Raw genomic sequence first — 15897 nt, 5'->3', positions numbered from 1 at the left:
TTATACAAAAATATATTTCCATTATTTCATGCAAAGGAGTACAGCTCAATCTTTAGTCTTCATCATATGAACAAAAATGAATTAGATTAATTGATTGATTGATTTTTATTTATTTATTTTTGAGACAGAGTCTCAGTCACCCAGGCTCAAGTGCAGTGGCGTGATCTCGGCTCACTGAAAGCTCCGCCTCCTGGGTTCATGCCATTCTCCTGCCTCAGCCTCCCGAGTAGCTGGTACTACAGGCGCCCACCACCACGCCCGGCTAATTTTGTTTTTTTTTTTTTTTTTTAGTAGAGACAGGGTTTCACCATGTTAGCCAGGATGGTCTCAATCTCCTGCCCTCATGATCCGCCCACCTCGGCCTCCCAAAGTGCTGAGATTACAGGAGTGAGCCACCACGCCTGGCCAAAAATTAATTAGATTTATTACTCACATATTTTTAACCAGACGACTTAGTGCAAAGATTATTTTAAAGTTAACTATATAATACAAGTAAAAATCTATAAGCCCAATGTCACATCAAATAAAACATACAAAATTAATCTTATACATATTTTGTAAGATGTATGATTAATACTGACTCACATTAGGAATTAGGTATAAATAACATACCATTCACATCAAAACCATTACTTTTCATAGCTAAAACCATTACATTTCTAGAATTACATGTAAGACAGAATGAGGTAACTTAAAGATAGAACTTCGGTTACAAATCAAAATACTCAAAAAGCAATAAAAATGCCCTGCTATGCGTCCTTTAGGGGATAATAGACTCCCTAAATGATGTCACTGTATAACAAGACTCTTCTTTTAGACACAAAATTGTCTCTAAAATAATACAGGCCAATGCCCCCCATAATGAAAACTGAATATAATGCAGTTTAAATTTAGATACCATGGCTTGTCTGAAATGTAAAAACACAACTGGCTTTTAGCTATATATTTTCAGCTATTTACTTGTGCCCACCTTTCATGCATCTGGCCACTCCAGCTCCCTGAATGTTTGGCTGCCCTTATTAAGAGTCAAGACTCTTTCTCAATTCTTGCCCTTCAATTCAATAACTTAATTGTTTCAGATTTATCTCCTATTGTATCTCTAAAATTGGTTATCTCTAAAATCTTCCTGTTGTACATTACAATTTCAGCTATCTACTTTAGGGTCCATAACATTTGTAATAACCCCCTTAAACAGAAAAGACTAGAAAGGTAGTCATTACAACATTAACAAATATTTACACAATTATATTAATAATAAATATTTCCATTTAGTTTTTAAAACATCACTTGCTTTCAAGTACCATAAAAAAAAGTAAAATAATTGTCAGAAGATGCTTATCTTGTGGAACACAAGGTTCAAACTTTTACTGGTGTCTGTAAGAAGCTCCTGGGCAAAAGATGTTAATTTTTCCAGAGTTTCAGTTGTAAACAAAAATGACTAAAGTATACTCACAAAGAAGGAGAAGGAGGAGGAGGAGGAGGGTGAGGAAGGGGAGAAGGACGGGGAGGAGGGGGAGGAAGGCAAGGAGGGGGAGGAGGAGGAAGGAGAGGAGGAGAAGAGAAGGGGAGGAGAGGGAGGAAGCAGCAGCAGCAGCAAGAAGAAAGGAGGAGAAGGAGGAGAAGAAGAGAAGCAGCAGCTTATCATCAATACCAAATAGTAGCAGAGGAAACTTAATTTTTATTTATATGCCATAGTATAATGTGGACAAGATACTATTTTATCATTTATTACAAGAAAAATAAATAATAGAAGCTTCCTTTATTACTGTATTTACTTCCTTTTTTTTTTTTTTTTTTTTTTGAGACAGAGCTTCACTCTTATTGCCCAGGCTGCTGGAGTGCAGTGGTATGATCTCAGCTCACTGCAACCTCCACCTTCCGGTTTCAAGTGATTCTCCTGCCTCAGCCTCCCAAGTAGCTGGGATTACAGGCGCCTGCCACCACCCCCGGCTAATTTTTGTATTTTTAGTAGAGAAGGGGTTTCACCATGTTGGCCAGGCTGGTCTCGAACTCCTGACCTCATGGTCTGCCCACCTCAGCCTTCCAAAGTGCTGGGATTACAGGCATGAGCCACCACGCTCAGCCTAGTTTCTTACATTAATTAGAATACTGCCATGAACTTACTTAAAACACACAAAATCAAATCCGCCTTCAAACTATCAGGATTCACTACAAACTCTGTAAAAATATTGGCTCAATACGTGTTTAGATATTTACTTAATAAAATTTAGGGCACTTTTTGATAATGTAGACTATAGAAACAAAAAAAAAGTTGTCACAAAAAAACAAGAGTTTTAGATAAAGCTTTTTTTTTTTAAGTATTTACAAGTATCCTCTTATAGGAACTCATTACTTTTCCTAGCTCATTAATACTTAAAATTCTACAAATTTCTTGTTTCAGGTAAACCAAGAAAGAAAGAAATATCAACAGAGGGCCGGGCGCAGTGGCTCACACCTGTAATCCCAGCACTTTGGGAGGCTGAAGCGGGTGGATCACGAGGTCAGGAGATCGAGACCATCCTGGCTAACATGGTGAAACCCTGTCTCTATTAAAAATACAAAAAGTTAGCCAGGCGTGGTGGCGGGCGCCTGTAGTCCCAGCTACTGGGGAGGCTGAGGCAGGAGAATGGCATGAACCCGGGAGGCGGAGCTTGCAGTGAGTCGAGATTGCAACACTGTACTCCAGCCTGGGCGACAGAGGAAGACTCGGTCTCAAACAAAAAAAAAAAAAAAAAGGAAATATCAACAGAATAGTTATAAATGTAGGCTCTAGAGCTGGATAGGTTGGGTTCAAATCCCACATACTGTGTGTGATCTTGGTTCTTGTTACTTTACCTGTATTGGGTTTGCTGTTTCCTCATCTGTAAAATGGGGATAAACCAAAAGCAAGACAGTGGTTCTCATGAATCTCAAAACAGCAATCTCCTCCAGTAAAGGAGGCAGAGTGTGGTAGAAAAGAAACACATAGGAGGCTTACTGGATGCTAACAATGTCCTATTTCTTGGTGTGCGTGGAGAATACACAGGTGTTCAGTTTTAAATTATTTGCTGTTCTGTACATGTGCAATATTCAATATTTTGTTTTAAAAGTTAAGGACTATAATATCTGTAACACTGTATAGTATTCATGGAAGTGAAAAATATGAAAAACCCAAAAGTTAACAAACTACTGGCTTCTCAGAAGTAATATATAAACAATCTAACAAACATAAATCATGTTTCTATCTTTTAAAAACTGCAGGAGAGGCATATATACAAATAAAGATGTTCTGTGCTAGGTTTCCTTTGCTTAAAAGGTAACTACTACATACTTCACCTCCTCACAAGACATGGAATCCACAGCACATGCATAAGACATTATATTGAACAAGAGGAAACCTACCAGTTTACAAGTGGCAACTACAACACTACAATAATTTGCAATGCTATTAGAACACAAGACTTCTGAGTTGCACTTTCATATATATAACTGGCTAAGGAATATTTACACTTCAATGTCCACAGTTATCTCAAAACTCATCTTTTCCTCCAAAAATTTTCCTCTTATTTAGCTTTCTTAATAGTTATCACTATCCACCAAGTAACTCAAGACCAGAATCTAGTAAACTATTTAAATTTTGTTTTTAAACAAACCAATGTCAGGCCCATGAAAATTAACAGCAGAGAATTAAATCCCTGTGATTGCAGTAGAAACTATAGGACTACAATGAAAGCAGGAAGACCAGTAAGAAAGCTTTAGAACCTGGCTGAGTGCGGTGGCTCACGCCTATAATCCCAGCACTTTGGGAAGCCAAGGTGGATGGATCACTTGAGATTAGGAGTTCAAGTCCAGCCTGGCCAACATGGCCAAACCCCATCTCTACTAAAAATACAAAAATTAGCCAGGCATGGCAGCGCATGCCTGTAGTCCCAGCCACTTAGGAGGCTGAGGCATGAGAATCGCTTGAACCAGGGAGGCAGAAGTTGCAGTGAGCCGAGATCATGACGCTGCACTCTGAGCAACAGAGCAAAACTCTGTCTCAAAAAATATATATATATTAGAATCTAGAGATGATGGTACATATGAACTAAATGCTAGTCCATATGGTAACAGTGATACCACTGTTATCATCTGTGGACCAGATGGCTAGGAGCGAGGGAAAAGGTGTGTCATGATGACTCCCAGGCTTCTGGCTTGAGCAACAAGAAGAGGATAGTACGATTTTCAAAGAAGAGAAGCCTAAAAATAAAGAAGCAGAGGTAGTAAGTGGTCATAGGAATATTTATTAATAACTCAATTTTGGACAAAATCAGTTTTGAGATATCTGAAAGACACAGAGGCAAAAACGTCAAGTATGCATTGGATATTTAATTCTGAATCTTAGAGAACTTTGGACTATAAAATGCAAATTTGAGTATCAACAACATATGGAAAGTACTTAAATCCATGGAAAAGAATGAAATTAACTTGGGAGAAAGTTTAGGGAAAGAAATTAAGGATTGACCAATGAAAACATCAACATTTAGAAACCATTCCAAAAGCAGAAGCCAGAAATTTACTGCTCTTTCCTTCTTTCTTCATCAAAAACAAATTTACTTCAAGATCAACTCTGCGAAGTTTCAATCTCACAAGCAAAAGTTGTCATTTTTTTTTTTTTTTACCCACACTTCTAGTTCTCTATACTACTCTTCTTAACATGCTACGTTATAATCATTTACTTAAATGCCTAGTTCAACACCACCTATTGGCTCTTTGGGAAATGCTTTGGTTTTCATTGCATTCATCTGTACCTAACATATCACCTAATACACTGAAATCATTTTTATAAAACATGAAAAATTCACCAAAAAAAACTGTGAACCTATTTTCGCTAACTTTTCAACATAAAAAAGACTGAAATAGTAAGTACATCATATATTGATATAGAAGTAAAAAAAAAAGTGTTGAAATGTTTTAAACGTCATTTATTTCCAAAAAATAGAAAATAATACAATAATAAGGTACATAATAAAATAATACAATATATACATCTAAAGTCTCTGGAAGATTTTCTATTTTTCTGATTGATACAACACATTCTTTTTAATTAAAAATTAGTATCACCTTCAAAGTGTATTTAGAATAGAAAAGGTTTATTCTTTTTAAAAATTTAATGTAATATAAAATTTGATATATCAGAATCATAATATATGGTACACATGAGAACTAATTCTAACAGGTTATACAAAATGTCTTCAGTCAGCTGTATAAAGAATGGATTTGAAATGACAAGAATCTAAGACAATTCTAACATGATGTTAAAATTAAACCACTCCCCAAAGTACTAGAAGATAAATCTTATGTAGCAGAGTACAACCAGTCAAGGACCAATTGATTCTGAGGAAGGCTTTGTTTCAGTTGTTCAAGAAATGGCACACATAAAGGAAAGAAGCCAATACCTTTGCCACTAGTGTTCTCCATTGTATACAGGTAATCCATATAAAAAGCCCCAAACCGTTGCATTCCAGCTATCTCAGTGTATGTCTCCTGCCAACAAAGCAATGCAAACAGAATAAACATTGTATAAAAGAAACTTTTGAGTTTAAAGCTTGATAGGTTAGACACATATCTTTATATAGAATGTATAACAACACAAAGGATGACCAAAAGAACAGAGGTTATTCCAAGAATTTACTTCTAAGAAAGGTAATATTCCATCTATTACAGACCACACAAAAAAGACATCCATACTTTTATGAGACATTTTGACCACTTTATTAATCATGTCTAGTTAATAAATACCTACAATGGAGGAGATAGTACACTCCTGACCTTTATCACTATCACAAAACTGTCTAATAATGTATACTCTCAAATAGAATTAATCCTTAAATACTTCATATCATGAAACAATTCAAACACTAAAGATATACTGAAATATTCTAAATGTATGTTAATTATGCAAGTCAACATTAAATATTTTAACAATGGAAGTAAATCTTGATAAAAAAAGAGTAAAATGTAAATTATCCTATTGCATTAATCTTCAGGTAATTATCTGAATTTTTAACTGATTTCATAAATGTATTAATATTCCATAAACATATTAATATATTCTTACATTTAAAAAACACTAAGAAGTATAGATAGTAAAAAGGTAAATTCCTCATTTCTTTACATCAATCCCACACATTAAAAGTAACAAAAATTAACAGAGGTAATTCAACATGTTTCCTCCACGATTATTTTTGAAGCAGGGCATAAATAAGCAAAATATGTTTACATATTCAATAAAAGATCTCTGTGCACTCCTCAAACATTTCTACATGTATACTGTATAAATGCATTCTAAATGTTTTAATAAACAATTAGCATTCAGAAGGCATTATTTGAAAAGAAAGCTAGAAATCACAAGTATTCATACAATGTGTCCACCCAAACACAGCCTAGAATTTGGTTCAAATATATATTCTCTAACCTTATGATGAGTTGAATCCAAGATAAATTCTGCGCGAGTACCATTATTTTCTGGGCTTCGGTAATCAAACAATGAATTTGTAAGGTATGTGAAACCTTTCGTACTCAAATTGTCACCACAAATGAAGAAACAGGCTTCCTGAAAACAAATGCAAAATTTATAAATGGGAAGAAAAACCATTAGCCTGTTAAACAAAATAAAACCTTGATTTTATGATGCCCATTTACTAGTCAAAAGAAATCACTAAAACAGAAAGATAAGGAATGCTGCTGCTCCACCTTCATTGACTATTTTGCCAAAGATCATTTTTACAAACCAAAAGGAAACTCCAAATAACTGCCATGAACAAAAAAGAAGAAAGATTCATGAATAAGAAAGTAGTTGGAACTACTGTCCAGGTGTTAGGCGCTACCAACTTTCTAAACTTCCCTGAGATCTATAATTTCTGGCAGGTGAAACACAGGGAGAAATAGTAAAGCTCCTCTCTCAAGCCTGAGATATATATAGTCTAACAGATATTATATGGTTAAACACTTCAGTAAGCACTTAATTATTCCTATATCCTATCCAAAAAAGGATGGAGGAAACGGACTTACAGTTTCACTTCTATTCATATTCTCTTCAAAATCTTTAACACCCATAATTCCTTTAAGGCACATGGCTCTGCAACCAACAAACCCAATCTGGCAATCAAAGAAAGGTTCTCCCATCATAAGGGCCTATAAGACGAAAGGAAACATTAGAACTAAGAATTGAATTTAATAAAAATGTTAGAGGCTTTCCTTGTAGAATCTCTAAATTAGTTAAACATCTTTAGAATTATGTCATTTTTAAATTTATTCTATACTATTTATTTATACTATCCATGAGATAGTAAACTCTATTAAAATAAGAAACAAACATCTTACTTGTATTTTTAAATACACTACATCTGATAAAAACAGGTATTTATAAAATATTAAAGAACAAAATATTTAAAAATACAGGTTCAATATTGAAAGATTACCTCAACTGTAGTTCCTTCTTGTTCCCAACACAATACTTCTTTAGATTTTACTTTCTGTGGACTGTAATAACTACTCTCAACTTGCATTTCTGTGAGCTAAGAAATATAAGAATATTAAGTAAATCAAATTTAGTATTAAAGAGCAATAAATTGTCATTATGATGATTAATTGATTAAAACAAGGCCAATTTTAAGATTCAGGAAATTTAAATATTAAGCAGGAAAGCAGGTGCAACAAAAACAGCTGTAACAGATTATCCATGGTATAAAGGTTGAATATGCTAGTCTCAACGTATATAGAGAATTTAAATACTTTTTAAACTCCTTCTTAATATTGTTTTAAAAAGTGAAAGCTGTGTGCAATAACAGTCCCATACTCACAAAATCATTTATGTATTCTGCCAAAAATTTACATATAGTATAACCTCAGTTCATTTTATATTCAACAAAACATTCAACAACGTGTAGTTTCAGTCATTTCCAAGACTTCTCACTATTTGAAATAAAAAAGAAAGTGGTGATGAAATGCAAAAAGATAAAACAGGCTCTTTCTAGTTCCTATGAAGGAAATAGAATCAAGCATATTTCTTTTCAAAAGATGTTTCCTACTAAATCTCATAGACTCATTCAATCATGCAACAAATACTTATTGAAAGCCAGCTAGATAAGAAGTAGGGGCGAACCTCATTGTATTGCACTCTGCTTTATTTCACTTCGCAGATATTGCACTTTTTACAAATTGGAAGTCTGTAGCAACCCCACATGAATCAAGTCTATCAGCACCATTTTCCCAATAGCACATGCTTACTTTGTGTTTCTGTGTCACATTTTGGTAATTCTCCCAATAGTTCAAAATTTTTCATTATTATTATCTGTTATGGTGATCTGTAATCAGTTATCTTTGATAGTACTATTGGAACTATTTTGGGGCACCATGAACATGCCCATTTAAGACTGAGAACTTAATTGATACATGTGTGTGTTCTGACTGTTCCACTGTCTAGCCACTCCCCTCTCTCCCTTCTCCTTGGGCCTATTTCCTGAGACAGAACAATATTGAAATTAGGCTAATTAGTAATATTACAATGGTCTAAGTATTTAAGTGAAAGGAAGAGTCCCTGTCTCTCACTTTAAATCAAAAGCTAGAAATGATTAAGCTTAGTGAAGAAGGGATGTAAAAGCCAAGACAGGCCAAAACATAGGCATCTTGAGCCAAACAGTTGGCCCAGTCATTAATGCAAAAGAAAAAGTCTTGAAGGAAATTAAAATTGTACACACAAGTGATAAGGAAGTAAAACAGCCTGTTGATATGGAGGAATTTTGAGTGGTCTGGATAGACAATCGAACTAGCCACAACACTCCCTTAAGCCAAGGCTGAATCCAGAGTAAAGCCCTAACCCTTAAATTCTATGTAGGCTAATAGACGTAAGAAAGCTGCAGGAGAAAAGTCCGACAGTAGCAGAGGTCTGTTCATGAGCCTTATGGAACGAAGACGTCTCCATACCATAAAAGCGCAAGGGTTGACGTAGAAGCTGCACGCAGTTACCCAGAAGACCTAGCTAAGATAATTAACGAAAGTGGCTACACTAATCAACAGATTTTCAACACAGACCAAACAGCCTTCTCCTGGAAGAAGATGTCATCTGAGCTAGAGAGGAAAAGTCAGTGCTTGGCTTCAAAGCTTCAAAATACAGGCGGATGCTCTTGTTAGGGGCTAACATATCTGGTAACTTTAAGTTGAAGATAGTGTTCATTTACCATTCTGAAAATCCTAGGGCCCTTAAGAATCATGCTAAATCTACTTTGCTTGTGCTCTATGAATGGAAAAAAAATGACTGAATGACAGTACATCTGTTTATGGCATGGTTTACTAAATACTTTAAGCCTATGGAAACCTACTTCTCAAAAAAAAGGACTCCTCTTAAAATATTACTGCTCACTGACAATGCATCTGGTCACCCTACACCTCTGATGGAGACATACAAGGAGATGAATATTGTTTTTCATGCCTGCTAAAATGACATCCATTCTGCAGCCCATGGATTAGGAGTAATGTTGATGTTCAAGTCTTATTATTTAAGGAATACATTTCGTAAGGCTATAGCCACCATAGATAGTGATTCCTCTGATGGATCTAGGCAAAGTAAATCAAAAACTTTCCTGAAAGGGTTTACTATTCCAGATTCCATTAAGAACATTTGTGATTCATAGAAAGAGGTCAAACTATCCACATTAACAAGAGCTTGAAAGAAGTTGATTTTAACCCTCCTGGATGACTTTGAGGTATTCAAGACTTAGGTGGAGGAAGTAACTACTAAAGAATTAGATTTAGAAGTGGAACCTGAAGAGGACTGGCTTCTTATGGATAAAGAAAGAAAGTGATTTCTGAAGATGGAATCTACTCCTGGTGAAGATGCTGGGAACATTGTTGAAATGACGATGAATTTAGAATGTTCTGTATATTTAGTCGATAAAGCAGCAGTAGTGTTTGAAAAGGACTGACTTCAATTTCGACAGAGGTTCTACTCTGAAGCCGGACACAGTGGCTCACGCCTGTAATGCCAGCACTTTGGGAGGCCAAGTCAGGTGGATCACTTGAGGCCAGGAGTTTGAGACCAGCCTGGCCAAAGTGGTGAAACCCCATCTCTACCAAAAATACAAAAATTAGCCAAGCGTGGTGGTGCATGCCTGCAGTCCCAGCTACTCAGGAGGCAGAGGTGCAAGAATTGCTTGAACCTGGGAGGCGGAGGTTGCAGTGAGCCAAAATCATACCACTACACTCCAGCCTGGGTGACAGAGAGAGGCTCTGTCTCAAAAAAAATAGTCCTACTCTGAGTAAAATTCAGTCAAACAGCATCCCATGCTACAGAGAAATCTTCCATGAAAGGAAGAGTCAATTAACGTGGCACACTTCATTGCTGTCTTATTTTGAGAAATTGCCTCTGCCACTCCAACCTTTAGCAACCACCACCCTGATCAGACAGCAATCATCAATACTGAGTCAAGACCCTCCACCAGCAAAAAGTTATGACTTGCTGAAAGTGTAGATGATTGTTAGCATTTTTTAACAATAAAGTATTTTTAATTAAGGTATATATAGTGGTTTTAGACATACTGTTGGACACTTAACAAACTACAATATTGTGCAAACATAATTTTTTATGCATTAGGCAAAACAAAAAATTTCTGTGACTCGCTTTATTGCTATATTCGCTTTATTGTGGTGGTATGGAACCAAGTCCACAATATCTCTGAGGTACACCTGTACTAATCTAGATATTAACAAAACAAAAAATTCTTAACTCCCCAGATGCTTATAACATATTATTTATATGTTTCAAAAATTACATAAATTATTTTACAAAAGTACTATTCTAAATGCAACATGGTATCCTGGTTTGAATCACGGTACAGAAAAAACATATCATGAAATTCAATTAATGTTCAAAATGTAACAGTAATGCATCAATGAAGCCTTCTTAGTTTTGACAAATATACTGTGATAACATAACAATAAGGGAAACTGGGTAAAGAACATAAAGGAACTCTCTGTACTATCTTTGCAACCTGTCTGTAACTCTAAAATTATTCCAAAAAGAAAAGGTTACTTTTTTAAAAAAGGTATTCAGCATGTGTTTGCCAATTATTTACTTCCCCTCATTCTTACGACATAGATATATTCATCACTTTTAAATGCAAAGTCAAAGCTCACATTTTTAAAAAAACCAATATTTAACTTAGGCCTAATGAAAGTTCTTGAACTAGAAAGTTACAATTTTAAGCACAGTGACTTCTCTATATTGAGTATCAACTAATTATTCTCATTCTTTATAATAAAGCTTTTTATATTTTATATTTTTATGTAATGTAGACTCCTATTTCTTGGATGTTTCTAGTACTGATATATACAATGTAGCTATTTTAAAGCACAATTCTGTAATCTAGAATGATTACTGAAGTAAACTTGAATTTTTTTAAATTGATCCCTCTTCAGCTGTCTACAATTATTATAGAGAAAAAGCAATTAATTGATTAAAAGGACTCATGCGGTGGCTCACGCCTGTAATCCCAGCACTTTGGGAGGCCGAGGTGGGCGGATCACGAGGTCAGGAGATCGAGACCATCCTGGCTAACACGGTGAAACCCTGTCTCTACTAAAAAAAATACAAAAAATTAGCCGGGCATGGTGGCGGGCACCTGTAGTCCCAGCTACTGGGGAGGCTGAGGCAGGAGAATGGCGTGAACCCGGGAGGCAGAGCTTGCAGTGAGCCGAGACTGCGCCACTGCACTCCAGCCTGGGCAACAGTGTGAGACTCTGCCTCAAAAAAAAAAAAAAAAAGGACCCGAACATTACAAGAATAATTTTAAACATTCTTAGAAAAATGCTAGATTTAATTTGGCATGATTTTTGCTGGACTGATATCAACTGCTCAAAATGCTAATGTAGAAACATGATCTTGTTTTCTTAACAAAAATATGAACCAGAAATTAATTCCAAACATTCTTCAAATCTAAGCTGAGCAATGAATTCTAATGCTTTCCTCCTTAATATCAAGGTATTTCCCTAAGAGCAAACTTTAAGAAACATAAATGTTCTAAAATTATAAAAAGATATATTAACTATTGACAAATACTGCCCAAGAAGTCTATAAAAATTTTATACACAAATGACTATTTTGTTTTGTTGTTGTTTGCCTTTGTTTGTGTTTTTGACACAGGGTCTTCCTCTGTCACCCAGGCTGCAGTGCAGTAGCACGATCATGGGTCACTGCAGCCTAAAACCTCCAGGGCTCAAGCAATCCTCCCACTTCAGCTTCCGGAGTAGTTAGGACTACAGGTGCACACTACCACACCTGGCTATTTTTTTTTATAAAGATGGGGTCTCACCATGTTGCCCAGGTTGGATAAATGCCTATTTTGACTGATTCCGTTGAATATAATTCCTCTCAACAATCAAGTTAACAGAAATATATCAGAATAATTTCAAATTTAAAACTAAACAGGAAAAAATCACCAGAAAGGACGGTACTTAACTTGTAATCCTTGACTTCCCTCACAATCTTCCACAAAAATAAGTGCTTTATTCCAATCTAAAACTGACAATATATCTTTTTTTTCTTTTTACAAAATGTCAGACTTTTTTTTTTTTTTTTTTTTTAAGGAGACACAGTCTTGCTTGGTCACCCAGGCTAGAGTACAGTGGTGAAAACATGGCTCATTGCAGCTCAAACTCCAGGACTCAAGCAATACTCCCACTTCAGCCTCCTAAATTGCTAGGATTACAGGCAAGCGCCACCATGCCCTGCTAATTTATTTATTTATTTTTTGTACAGACAGGGTCTCACTATGTTGCCCAGGCTATATGTCAGGACTTTTGATATTAAAAAAACTGACAACATATCCAACAATATTTATCAACAGTTGCCTTTTTATTATATTTTTTAATATCTTATTTTATTATATTTTAATTTTGAAGATGAATCCTTATCCCTTTAATCAATGCTAAATCAGTGAATTTCAATCACAAAAATAATTTTTTTCAGTAGAACTGAGAATAATGATGTTAAAATAGTACAGCTAATATATGCATTATAATTTTTGCCCAAACTTTAAAAAATTAAATCAATCAAGCTATGACACAAACTTTAGTTGAAATTTATTCTCTATATTTTTCAACTTTTGTCATATTAGAAAACATTGAATTATCTTAAGTAGAAAAGTCTTTAATATTTATTTGTAAATTTTTTTTTTTAGTAAAGACAGGGTTTCACCATATTGGCCAGGCTGGTCTTGAACTCCTGACCTCATGATCCGCCCGCCTCAGCCTCCCAAAGTGCTGGGATTACAGGCGTGAGCCACTGAGTCCAGCTATCTTAAAGTATTTTATAACTTGCCATCTGTTGTAGTTATAAATTGTGTAGCTTTAGTACTAATACAAAGAAAATCTATGCTAAATTTAAAACCATGGGAACAGAAACTTTTTTTTTTTCCACTGCTGCAACCCCACAATGTAACAAGTTGCCTGGAATAATACCTATACCACTATTTCAAAAGTTTAGCTCATTTCACATGGGTTTATCTCCTTTACAAAAATGCAGACATGAAATAATAAACCCACAAAAAATGAAATTGGAGAGGAAACAAAACCTGAAAAATGAGTCCATAAATTTTTGTAAACTGAAAAGCAGATGAAAAGGTGGGCAGATGTATGGATAATGGATGGATGCACATACTTATTCAAAAAATAAATATTTGTAGAAAACATACCAGGCAATTTCTAAGTGCTGAAGAAACAACAAATTTTTTTTTTTTTTTTTTTTTTTTTTTTTTTTTTTTTTTTTGGGACAGTATCTTGCTCTGTCACCCAGGCTGGAGTGCAATGGCACGATATTGGCTCACTGCAACCTCCACCTCCCAGGTTCAAGCAATTCTCCTGCTTCAGCCTCCCAAGTAGCTGGGATTACAGGCGCCTGCCACCACACCAGGCTAATTTCTCTATTTTTAGTAAAGACGGGGTTTCCATGTTGGCCAGGCTGGTCTCGAACTCCTGACCTCATGATCCGCCCACCTCAGCCTCCCAAAGTGCTGGGATTACAGGTGTGAGCCATCATGCCCAGCCCAACAAACCTTTTAAAATTACCACTTAATGAGCTTTAGTGTAATATCAAAAGGAATATCCATAATTTTTCAAAAGGCTATTAAAATACCCCTTCCTTTCCAAATAAATATCTATGTGAGGCTAGATGTTCTTCATATACATTAATTAAAACATGTCCTAACAGACTGAATACTGAAGCAGACACAAAAATTCAGCTATCTTCTACTAAGCCAGACATTCAAGATACTTACAAAAATAAAACCAATGCATGTCCCTTCTTACCTTTTAAAATACAGTAATTTTACTTTTATTATAAAATGATATTCACATCAACATATAATAAATTCATTTTAAAATAAATTAATATATACATATTCTTAAGATTTGTTTTAACTTCTAATACAATAAATATGAGTAGATGTAATCTGAATAAACAAAACTCCTCAGAGTTCTCAATAATTTTTAAGAATGCAAAGGTTTCCTGGAGCCTTGAGATCAAAAAGTTTGAAAACTACTGGTCTATAAGTTGCAATAAAGCTGATGAGAAATGACTGCATCCTAGAGGTACAGCTGACAGAACATGCTGACTGATTAGATGTGGTGGGAGAAGAAAAGATACTGATAAATGTTAAGCCTGAGCAAATTAGTAGATAATGTTGCAATTTAATGAAAGGTAAAATAGTGGGGGTGGGGGTGCACAACTGCAAAGAAAAATCAAGAGTTCTGTTTGTATGTGTTAAGTATCAATCAGATATGAAAGTGGAAATATAAAATTGGCAGTTGAATTCTAGAGCTCAGGGAAAAGTGAAAAGTGGAGACACAAATTTGGTAGTCTATCAGCATCTATATCATGATGGAGTTATATCACCTTGGGAGTTTGTAGATAGAAAAGAAGAGAGGGTCAAAGACCAAGCCCTATATGCCAACATTTAAAGGTCATACAGAAGAGGAGAAGCACCAAAAACGACTACAAAAAAGTCCCTGGTAACCCAGATATAATTTTCTTTTCTTTCTTTTTTTTTTTTCTTTTTTTTGAGACAAGGTCTCGCTCTGTCACCCAGGCTGCAGTGGCAGTGGCATGATCTCAGCTCAATTCAACCTCCACCCCTCCAGCTCAAGCAATCCTCCCACCTCAACCTGCTAAGTATCTGGTACTACAGGCACACGCCATCCTGCTTAGCTAATTTTTGTATTTTTCTGTAGAGACAGAGTTTCACCATATTTGCATGGCTGGTCTGGAATTCCTGGGCTCAAGTGATCCGCCTGCTTTGGCCTCCTAAAGTGCTGGGATTATAGGCATGAGCCACTGTGCCCAGCGATAACATTTTTAAAGAAAAAGAAGCATATCCCAAAGAAACTCTTCCACATATATATGTCAGAAGATCTGTACCAGAACATTTACATCAGCATTGTTCAAAATATAGCAAAATATATGGAACAGACTGTAAGACCCATTATCCCTCTTTCTTAGACTCATAAATCAATCCCACATCATTCTACTAGTTGTCTGAAGATTTAATTTTGGATTCAGTCCCACACTACCACTGTCATAATCCTTGGTGATTTCAATATCCAGAGAGATGATCATTCCAAAAGTCTGATTTCTCAGTTTTTTGACCACCTCTTCTGCATTGATCTTGTCCTCCAGATTATTTTCACCATCACCCTAACTAAAGCAGCAGAATATGACCAGAAAAATACATACAACCACAATGACTGGTATATCTTCAAATTCATGATCACTTTTGTGTAGTAGGTCCTTAGTGTCCCTAGTGAACATACATATTCAAAGGCCATTACTCCTCATCCTCCCCAAGATGACAATTTTATACCTTCTTCCCTTTCCTCAAAGCTTCT

At 35.5% G+C, this 15897-nt stretch overlaps 1 protein-coding gene across 3 annotated transcripts in view; it reads right to left on the bottom strand.

Annotated features, from left to right (window-relative positions):
- Nucleotides 1–15897, bottom strand: part of VPS13B (vacuolar protein sorting 13 homolog B) — an 864307-nt gene that overhangs the window by 735411 nt on the left and 112999 nt on the right. For all 3 annotated transcript variants that reach the window (NM_152564.5, NM_017890.5, NM_015243.3), the window contains exons 9-12: nucleotides 7443–7538; nucleotides 7033–7155; nucleotides 6437–6574; nucleotides 5418–5505 (exon numbers count right to left, since the gene is read on the bottom strand). In NM_152564.5, the coding sequence (NP_689777.3) occupies nucleotides 5418–5505; nucleotides 6437–6574; nucleotides 7033–7155; nucleotides 7443–7538 (445 nt within the window). The remainder of the gene's footprint in view (nucleotides 1–5417; nucleotides 5506–6436; nucleotides 6575–7032; nucleotides 7156–7442; nucleotides 7539–15897) is intronic.

The sequence above is a fragment of the Homo sapiens genome, chromosome 8 (genome assembly GCF_000001405.40).
Source record: "Homo sapiens chromosome 8, GRCh38.p14 Primary Assembly".
Lineage (NCBI taxonomy): Eukaryota > Metazoa > Chordata > Mammalia > Primates > Hominidae > Homo > Homo sapiens.
This window is presented reverse-complemented; position numbering and strand designations above follow the sequence as displayed.